Source organism: Homo sapiens, chromosome 8 (genome assembly GCF_000001405.40).
Source record: "Homo sapiens chromosome 8, GRCh38.p14 Primary Assembly".
Classification (NCBI taxonomy): domain Eukaryota; kingdom Metazoa; phylum Chordata; class Mammalia; order Primates; family Hominidae; genus Homo; species Homo sapiens.
The window spans coordinates 24,671,689-24,683,063 of NC_000008.11; the positions used below are offsets into that span (position 1 = coordinate 24,671,689).

General features: G+C 37.5%; 1 long non-coding RNA gene across 1 annotated transcript; it reads right to left on the reverse strand.

The window, feature by feature from the left end:
- Window positions 1-1,520: 1,520 nt before the first annotated feature.
- Window positions 1,521-11,168, reverse strand: LOC107986882 (uncharacterized). Its single transcript, XR_001745701.1, has 3 exons — window positions 11,098-11,168; window positions 2,575-2,666; window positions 1,521-2,459 (listed from the first exon to the last, which is right to left on the reverse strand). It is a non-coding gene; the product is annotated as an uncharacterized LOC107986882 (long non-coding RNA).
- Window positions 11,169-11,375: the final 207 nt, after the last annotated feature.

The following is an 11,375-nucleotide window of genomic DNA, read 5'->3' on the forward strand; positions in this document are numbered from 1 at the left end:
ACACTTCCACCAGCACCATGACAGTTTACAAGTGCCAAGGCAATGTCAACAAGTTACCCTGTATGGTATGAAACAAGGAAGCATGAATAATCTACCCCTTGTTTAGCATATAACCAAGAAATAACCATAAAAATGGTCAACCAGCAGCCCTTGGGGCTGCTCTGCTTATGGAGTGGCAATTCTTTTATTCCTTTGTGTTGTTGTTTTTTTGGGTTTTTTTGTTTGTTTTTTTTTGAGACAGTCTCGCTCTGTCACCCAGGCTGGAGTGCAGTGGTGTGATCTAGGCTCACTGCAAGCTCCGCCTCCCAGGTTCATGCCATTCTCCTGCCTCAGCTTCCCGGGTAGCTGGGTCTACCGGCGCCCCCCACCACGCCCAGCTAATTTTTTGTATTTTTAGCAGAGACAGGATTTCACCGTGTTAGCCAGGATGGTCTCGATCTCCTGACCTCGTGATCCGCCCGCCTCGCCTCCCAAAATGCTGGGATTACAGGCGTGAGCCACGGTGCCTGGCCCCCTTTACTTGCTTCATAAACTTGCTTTCACTTTTACTCTGTGGATTCGCCCTGAATTCTTTCTTGCTCCAGATCCAAGAACCCTCTCTTGGGGTCCGGATCCAGACTCCCTTCCAGTAACACTGTTGCCTTCCTTAAGCTTCCTGATGCTCTCACTGCTGGATTCAGTGGAATACAAATGATCCCTATTATCCAAATTCCAAATCCACATGATCTTCCCTTTCATTCAGAGATATTGAGTCAAAGCGTTGGTATGTGTCACTCCAAGTGCAAATTCAAAGTATATTATGGAAAGAGTTCTGAGCTCAGAAATGAGGGCTAGGCTGGAGAACATTTGAGAGGCACTCACGTCATGTTGACGGCTGCTTGTCGCTATGGCTGGACTCAGCTGACTTTTGTACAGCGTGTCTGGTTTCCCAAAATTCTCTCATTTGCATTACCTGATCTTTGTGAGCCTTGGAGATAGGCAGGCATTTGTCAGCGAAGGAAACAGAGACCTTGAGAGTCTAAGTGACATTTTTTACTTAGTTCAGCTCCTCTGTCCAAAAACATTCAAGATGGCTTAAAATAAGACATTTATACAATGATGGTAGTCAAATAGAAATTTTAAAATCACAACCACAAAAAAGAAGAGAAGAAAGTGGATAATCCAAACAGGCAAGCTGATATACATGAAGTACAAATATTATCCTGAGTTTCTCTGCCTCCAGAACAAAAAGGGAAACATGGGAAATTAGCACACTCTTATTACTGGAGGGAGAAAATGCCATTTTCTCAGAGAAGCAGAGTTCTTCTTAACTTGGTTGTAAAACCTAAATGGAATTCTTTATAGGATACATTGAAAATTGGCAATTACCTCAACAACAGATTTTTACAACAGATTTTACAGCAAATACACCAAAATGAATTTCATATGGCTTTTTTTAAAAGCTACAAATTTTAAGCCACAAACTATTTTTAAGCTACAGGGCCTTTTTTTTTTTTTTTTTTTTTTGCATGAGCTAGACCATTAAAATCTTACAAAAGCTCTATGAAGTATTTACTATCACATTTTCCAAATTCAGAAATGGAAGCTTAAATTGATTAAGCCGCTCTCCCAACATCCCACAGCCCATAATTGACAGAGTTGGGGCTGGATCCCAGGTCTGACATCTTAAACTCTGAGGATAAGTAAAACACAATCACATAAAGGCAATCTGGCAAATTGGCAAAAATGTTGTCTCCTAGTGGACTGACCTAAGCCCACAATAAAACTTAGATCCCAGAAGTAAATGAACAATGTATTGCAAATTATTTTCAGAATTATTTCTCTAGCTGGACTTTTAATAAAGTCTAAAAAGCAAACCCTTAGCTATCATACACTGGCAAAGGTTGCTGGTTGACGCTACCCTAGAAGATTTACAGAAGATCATGTGGGTGGGTTGTGCCTTGCCAGGTTAGAACCAACTCCTCCACTACTAAGTCACAGATCTTATTATAATCAGATCAATCTCTCCCCAGCTATGACCTTAGACTCATAGTTTCTAAGTTCAAGGAATATGCATCCAATATTTTTCCCGTATTTTTAAAGCTGATATAAAATAGTCCTCCTGTGTCTGGTGCTTCACAGGGAACTGAGATTACTGAAGCTCAAGAAGCTTCAAACAGGATGGGATTACATAACAAGCCCTCCTGGATACTGAGCAGTGCTACAAGTGAACTGGGGATATTCTCCTTCGGAAAAAGCCAAAAGGCAAGCTTCACAGGGAGATAAATTTCCACAGCCTTAGTGTTCTCTATTTTATTGTCCACACAATGGTTTACATCCCTGAAAACCTGCCATTGAGTCCTCAGCTGCATCCCTGAGGCACTAAGGCTTAATGAACTCAGCTATGACTCAGTCAAATTGCTCCCAGAGTAAAGGTTTCACTGGAGAATGTAAGAGTCCTTCCGCAAAGTTAATTCTTTCTGAAAGAGGAAGAATATTAGAAAATAGTCAACCATAAATTAAGTACTTATATAACACCAATATTTCCAATTTAGTGTAGCAAAGAAGTATATTGCAGGGATTAAAAGTACATACTTTGGAGCCGGATAGCCTTGGTTCAAATGCATATCCTGCCAGGGTCTGGATTTGTTACATTGGCAGTTATTTCTAGGCCTCAGTTGCGTCATCTAGACAATGGTTATAATAGTATGACATTATTGAGTTGTTCTGCATATCCACTTAATTATTACACTTAAAGCAATTAGTAAGTGCCTGAGACATAGTTAAGTGTTCAGTAAATGTTAGGTATCAAAATGCAAGGAACTGAAGTAAAAGCTGAATAAGCTGTAACATTAACACAAGACTTCATTCTAATCCTCAAGGAATGATTTTAAGCAAAATATAAACGATGGAGTAATTAGCTCCTAATGAAGCTGTATTTGCTAGCTTTTGCTGTGTAACAAACCATCCCCCAAATGTCATGGCTTAAAGCAATAACCATATTTTAGCACACATTTGTACATCTGTCAGTTTAAGTTGCACTCATCTAGGCAGCTCATCTGGGCTGGGCTCAACAGATTTTAGCTGGGCTTGCTAAATGTTTGACAGTCAGCTAGTGGGTTGCCTGGTTTATCACTGTCTTTTCTGGGACACCCAGATTTACTGGGACTTTTCTCTCCATGGTCTTTCATGTGCTAGAAGGCAAGCCCAGTCTTATTCACATATCAGTGACAATGTTTCAGGAACAGCATAAAAACAAACCCTAAGGTACAAGTAACTGCCAAGTTGCTGTTTGCATTAAGTGTGCTGCTGTCCCATTGGCCAAGGCATGTCACATGGGCTAGCTTATACTCACAAAGAACTTTCCAAAGGTTTGAATTCAGGGGGGTGTTAGTATATGCAGTATCACTGCATCAGCACACTACAGGGGGCATCAGAAAATAATTCATAGGAGGACACAGTGATGAGTTCTAGTACAGGTGAACAAATTTTGATCAAGAAAAATGGGAGGAGTATTCTATATATGGAAAGTATCATGACCTGAGATACAGTGGGATGAACACATATAGCGTGAGGTACACTAAAACTCCCAAGGGGAAAGAGGGGAGGTGTGTTTTAATTGTCACCTCTAGCTCCAAGCTCTTCTTTCTGTCAAATAGTTTATAAACTGTCTTCCCACCTACTCACATAATACCTGTTCCATAGTGCAGCATTCTAAACAAAGAATTCCCAGCTGGGAACTATACATCCTTCTTTTAAATATTTTTTGGCTCTTTCATCACTGGGGATTATATTAAGAATCATTTCTCTAGCCGAACTTTTAATGAAGTCTAAGTAGCAAACACTTAGCTGTTGTACTGATACCACCACTCCATGCCACACCACAATAACTAGGGTCCTCAGGCCTTCCTCTCTTTTCATCCCCCTCTTGCTGAATGGATCCCAAAAGTGGCTTTCCCCAGAAACTACTTCAAACACAGCTCTGGCCCTGTATTTGCTTGAAAATAAATTACGATTCACAACACAAAGGACCTTCCATTTAACAGGGTTCATGCTTCTGAAACAGTCGTGGGTTTTTCTTCCTGTTATTAGACAGTATTTATGTTACAATTAATATTCTCTCCTTATCAAAGGAAAATCAACAGTAGTACAAGAATTATAGAGCCAAAAAATGCATGATAACCAGATTTAACAATGCTAGATCATGGATACTGTCACTTCCTGATAATTTCCCCTTATATTCCCCTACCCCAATATTCCAGCTCTACTGTTTCATAAATAGATTTGAAAATCTCACTCCCTGATAGATTTAGAAAGAATTTTTATAACATGTCACGTGTCCTAGGGCACCCGGGGATGAATCTAGTCCCTTGGGAACCCATGAGAATAATGAGCATCAGGTTGTCTATCAAACTCATACAGCAGGAAGAAAGTCTATGTGGTTTGTCTTACTCTATCCCGATAAATTCTGTTTCCCCTATTCTTCAAATCCACTCATAAAATCTCCCTGCATGATGATTAAGACTGTACCCTGAAGACTCAAATTGACTGAAAATTTGGGAATTTATGCTCAGGTTTAGGAAACAAAAGACATAGGAGTTTTAAGTAAGAGCCATTTCAATATATGGCACATGTGTCTTATATTGTGACTTATTTTATTCAGTAAGTCTGGGCTATGATATTTCAAGCACATATTCTCCAAAGCAAATCTAAGTTGCATGTAGCTAGGGTTGATGTGGATTTTCCAAACTACATGATCTCTCTCTAAATATTAGTGATATATTACCTAAGGAGCCATGCATAGCAATCTGAAACCCAGTTGTGTAATAGAAAATGAGATCTAACATTCCACAAATGGCCAGGAAGTACACACAAGAGAAGTCAGTGAGGAGAAAAATGTCCAGGTGCTGCCTGTTGATTGACATTAAATTTGAACATACTTTACGTTATTTATTGATGGACAAGAGGAAATCAAAGCATAACAAATTAGACACAAGTTTACTACAAAATATGCAGAAAAAATGAATCAGAAAGAAACGTGAAGATTAAAATAATCTACTTTTTGTCATTAAAGAGGGGAGAGGGGAGAAAACCTATTTGGCATTCTCAACAGATTCTTTAAAACACTAACAAAAAATAAAATGAGCTGATATTAGCAAAAAGATGGAATAAGGACTCTAAAAGTTCACACCTTCAGAAAAATCAATGAAAAATCTGACAAAAAAAATCAGAATCAACTTTTTATACAAGCATACCAAAAGTTTGAAATAATGCACAGAACACTTACTTAAAAACAGCAGTTAAATCTTGGTAAGATCTTGTAGCTTTTTAATTTACCCTAATTCTAGCTCTCACTTCCAGCTCAGAGCATTATTAAAAAATTCGTAATTTCTGGTACTTGTAACAGATGGAGCAGAAGCCATTTATTTTCAGAGTGTTGAACTTTTATGTTTTGACTTGTCTGGTGGCTCCCTGGAAGACCAGATCAAAAGACTTGCCTTTATCTTGCCTGATTCAGAACCCACCTAGTGCTAAAGCTACTACCTCGAGTGTGTTTATAGGAAACATTTACAGGCAAATAAATATTTTAGTGACTGCTGTCTCAGGTAATGGATGATACTTAAAACAGACTAACCAAAAGGTTTGAAGGAAAGACTAGAAAATAAGACGTGTTGGAAAATAAGGGCTTTAGTAAGCTGCAACCTATTTCTGGAAACCTTGAAAGCTAAATGCATGCCCAGAGCTGTGTGTGTGCTCAAGGAAGACCCAGCAAGGGCTGAATCAGTCACCGATGGCTGACCTTGATTGCTCTGTGAAAGCAAGAAGGCAATATCAGAGTTTTAAACTGCCTGGCTAAGTGCTGAAAACACACCACACACACACCAACACACAAACACATACACAGACTCTGTGTAAGACCGGAAGATGTTCTGGTTTCAGGATTTGAAGAAAATTCCTGCCCTATCATTACTTGACCACTAAGCTAATGAAACAGAGACCTCAGGGGCCACACATAACAAAAATGAAAACTTTACAGAATTGGTTCTGAAAGTCACTAAAACAAAATGTCACCAAATAAACAACTACTACAACAAGCAGCAACAAGAAATCCTGAAGAAGAGAATCTGGTTATCAGAGTTGCCAACTTATACTAAAAATGTTAAATTTGAAGCAATAAATTATCAGGCATGCAAAGAAACAAAATGGTATGATCAATAAATAGAGAAGAGGCTGGGTGTGGTGGCTCACACCTGTAATCCCAACACTTTGAGAGGCTGAGGCGGGTGGATCACAAGGTCAGGAAATCGAGACCACCCTGGTTAACATGGTAAAACCCCGTCTCTAATAAAAATACAAAAAATTAGCCAGGCATGGTGGCAGGTGCCTGTAGTCGCAGCTACTCGGCAGGCTGAGGCGGGAGAATGGCATGAACCCGGGAGGCTGGCATGAACCCGGGAGGCAGAGCTTGCAGTGAGCCGAGATAGTGCCACTGCACTCCAGCCTGGGCGAAAGAGCAAGACTCCGTCTCAAAAAAATAAATAAGTAAATAAATAAATACATAGAGAAGAAAGTAATCAATGGAAACTGTCACTCAAGGAGTTCAGATAACTTATTATACAAATGCCTTAAATTATCTATTTTAAATCATTTAAATATATTCAACAATTTAAAGAAAATCATGTCTGAATAACTATAGAAACCATGAGAATAATGTCTCACCAAATAAAAAATCCAATAAAGAAACAGAACTTATAAAGTTAAAGAGAAATTCTGGAGTAGGAAAGCACAACAACTTAAATAACATTTCACTAGAGAGGATCAAGAACACACTTGGGCAGCACACTTGGTAAGCATAAGAAAAATCAGTAAAATTGAAGATAGGTTAATTGAGATTATCCATTCTGAGAAATATAATTTTTTAAATGAAGGAAATAAATAGAGCCTAAGAGACTTGTAGGACACCATCAAGTATACCAACACACAAATAATGAGATTCCCAGAAGAAGAGGAGAAACAAAAAGGGAAAAAAATATTTGAAGAAATAAGGGTCCAAATCTTCCAAAATTTGAATTAAAAATAGTAAAATACATATCTAAGAAACTCAAAGAACTTCTAGTCAAAAAAACTCAAAGAGATATGTGCTTACACATAATAAAGTGTCAGAAGATAAAGATAAGGAATCTTGAATGCAGCAAGAGAAAAGAACCTCATTATATGGAAATGCCCCTCCAAAGATTAATGTCTGTTTTCATAAGATACCGCAGACGCCAGAAGCAGTGGGATGACATATTCAAAGAGCTTAAAAATAAACGAAAAAACCATCAAACAAGAATTTTATATCCAGCAAAACTTTCCTTCAAAAATGAAGGCGAAATGAAGACATTACCAGATAAACAAATACAGAGGGTTATTAGCAAACCTGCCCTCTGAGAAATGCTAAAAATCTTTCAGTGTGAATTGAAGATATACTATATAATAACTTAAATATATACAAAGTAAAGAACACCAGTAAGTTATCTACATAGGTAAATGTAAAAAAATAGTATTAATGTATTTTAATTTTTTTCTTTTAGAGATAGGGTCTCACAATATTGCCCAGGCTGGCCTTAAATTCCTGGGCTCAAGCAATCCTCCCACCTTGGCTGCTCAAAGAGCTGGAATTACAGGCTCTGAGCCACTGTGCCCAGCTGTAAGAGGCGTTTGAACCAGAATGACTCCATCTTAAATAGGGGCTAAGTAAAATAAGACTGAGACCTGCTGAGCTGCATGCACAGTAAATTAGGCATTCTAAGTCACAGGATAGGAGGTTGGCAAAAGATACAGGTCATACCGACCTTGCTGATAAAACAGGTTGCAGAAAAGAAGCCAGCCAGAAGCCAGCCAAAACCCACCAAAAACAAGACAGCAACAAGAATGATGTCTGACGGTCCTCACTGCTCATTATATCCCAATTATAATGCATTAGCATGCTAAGAGACACTCCCACCAGCACCATGACAGTTTACAAATGCCATGACAAAGTCAGGAAGTTACCCTATATGGTCTAAAAAAGGGAGGAACCCTCAGTTCAGGGAATTGCCCACCCCTTTCCCAGAAAACTAATCAATAAGCCACCCCTTGTTTAGTGTATAATCAAGAAATAACTGTAAGTGTCCTTAATGGAGCAGCCCACACCGCTGCTCTGCCAGTGGGGCAGCCATTATTTATTCCTTTACTTTCCTAATAAACTTGCTCTCACTTTATTCTTTGGATTCACCTCAAATTCTTTCTCTCGCAAGATCCAAGAACCCTCTCTTTGGGTCTGGATCCGGGCCCCTTCCGGCAACAAAGCCAAATGTAATTTTTAAATTTGCAATTCCTTTCTTTACATCTGATTTAAAAGACAACTGTACAAAATGATAATTACAAGTCTACGTTGGAGAACACATGGTGTAAAAAGATATATTAATAATTTGTGAAAATAACAGCACAAAGGGGAAGAAGATCTAGGCTATAGCAGCAATGCTTTAGTGCACTATTGCAGTTAAGTTGGTATTAACTAAAAAAAAAAATTAAAATGGTACACTAGGAAATACCTATTTAACTCAAAAGGAGACAATAATGGAGGAAATGTGGAAGAAAAAATAATAACACATATAGAAAACAAATATCCAAGGGGAGAACTGTATTCTTATCAGTAAGTATATCCAATGTAAATAGATTAAACCCTCCAGTTAAAAGGCAGAGACTGGCAGAAGGGTTAAAGGAATAACAACAAAACATGATTCCTACAGACTATGTGTTGTCTATAAGAAACCCACTTTAGATTCAAAGACACGAATAAATGCAAGTTAAAAAAAAAAAGGAAAAACATATCCCATGCAAGCAGTAATCAAAAGAGAGCAGACAAGATGGACTTTAGGGCAAAAGTTGTTATGAGAGGCAAAGAAGGACATTATATAAAGATAAAAGGATCAATCCATCAAAAAGTTTTAACAATAATTAAAATATATACACCTAAAAAAGAGCCCCAAAATACATAAATCAAATCTGACTAAATGAATGAATAAACAGTTTGATAACCATGGTTGAAGACCTCAACACCCTGCTTTTAATAATGGACAGAATGATGAGACAGATGATCAAGAAAATAAAAGAATGGAACAACACAATAACCCAACTAATCAACAGAACATTTCACTCTGTGATAGCAGAATACACATTCTTCTCAAGTGCATCTGGAAGATTCTCCAAGATACACTCTGAGTCAATTCACAAAACACATCTCAAAAGTTTAAAAATGTTGAAAGCATACAAAATATGTTTCCCACCACGATGGAATGAAATACAAATTAACAACTGAGGAACTTTTGAAAATTCATGAATATAATGAAACTAAGCAACCCACTCGTAAAAGATCTATGAGTCAAAGGCATCATCACAGCAGAATCAGAAAATACTTTGAGATGAACTAAAATAAAAAAAGCATGCCAAAACATGGGAGGCAGTGAATGTAATACTTACAGCAAATCTACAATTGCAAATGCTTTCATTTAAAAGGAATGCTGGTTTCAAATAAATAACCTAAACTTCCTCCTTTAAGAAAAAGAAGAACAAACTACACCCAAAATAAGAAGATATAACTAATAAAGACTAGAGAGGAGATAAAACAGAGAATTTAAAAATCAATAGAGAAAACGAAACCAATAGTTGGTTCATTCAAAAGAATGACGGAAGTGCCAAACTTTTAGTTAGGTTAACCAAGAAAATAAGAAAGAAAACACAAATTACTAAAATTAGGAATAAAAGTGAAGGCACTCAAACCTACTTGAAAGAAATAAAAAGGATTATTAGAGAGTACTCTAAATGCTTGTGCGTCAACAAATTAATCTTCTCATCTCTCTGAGGTAGCTTAACTTTTTAAAAAATGCTGAACTATTCAAAACTATATAAATAATCTCCTAAAATATGCAAGGTCCTCCTTTCTGAACTAAGTAATATTTTTTAAAATCCTATTCCTAAATACTCTTTGAAAAGCCCAATAATAAAACATGGGGCCAGTGAGGCTCACTATATCATTTTTAGAGCTTGGTCACTTTGGAGAATGGCCCAGATTGCCTCTGGAAACTCAAAGTTCCCACCAACATAAACACATTCATGCTTATGACATTCCTAGGAAAATCCAAATATTTGAGAATTTGAAAATCTGACAACTTAATTCCCATTTTTCATGATCAAATATTCAAAATTGGATTTAACATATTGATTGACCCCCAGGAGAATGACTCAACATTGTTGTTTTTAATGCTTTGTTATAGTATCCAGCAGGCAACGGTTGTTTTTCTAAAGCTTGGAATAAAACTGCAACTGACTGGGAAGCCTGAAAGGACTCATCACCTTTATTATATCATAACATCTCTTGTTTCTCCTGAGTCGTGTTTTTGTTATTTTTTTAAAATTATTATACTTTAAATTCTGGGGTACATGTGGAGAACGTGCAGGTTTGTTACATAGGTATACATGTGCCATGGTGGTTTGCTGCACCCATCAACCTGTCATCTACATTAGGTATTTCTCTTAATGCTATCCCTCCCCTAGCCCCCCCATCCCCCGACAGGCCCTGGTGTGTGATGTTCCCCTCCCTGTGTCCATGTGTTCTCACTGTTCAACTCCCACTTATGAGTGAGAACATGCGGTGTTTGGTTTTCTGTTCCTGTGTTAGTTTGCTGAGAATGATTGTTTCCAGCTTCATCTATGTCCCTGAAAAGGACATAAACTGGGTCGTGTTTTTAAATCTTACAATACTGAGAATTAAACAATTCCTTATAATTTAAGCCAGTTGGGCGTCATTCACTAGGCAATAAAGCATGTATTAATCTTTTCTAAATTTTTATTTATTAAAAGCTCTGAGACATTCAGAAATCAATAAAAGTAGAATCAATTATCTTTTTAATCTCCTTGTATGCTCAGGAAATGAATCAGCAAGCACAGCAGTGAGAAACTGTTCTGCTTTTTTACGAGTTAACTATGCAAGCGGTAAAATGTTTGAGAGAGATGTGGAGATTTAAGCTGCCGAACTCACATTTAAAATGTAATCGACAAACACTCATGACAATTAGTATTTACAGAAGCTCTTACCATTTATCAGGCACTTTCACATGCATTACTGTATTCAATCATCACAAAAAAACCTGAGATGGGTATTTTCGTCTTGAATGTAAGGTACAGAAAGATTAAACAGCTTGATAAGAGACATCAAATCAGAAGCAGACTCCTGGTTCCACGCCCAAAGCTCTTCCCCATTTTGCTGAGTCATAGCAGAATCCATACAGCCATTACTGAATTTTGTCTCGTCATGAAATACGTTCTCATAAATGTTTATTATAAATGCACTTTCCTTGCAGGACATTATCTTT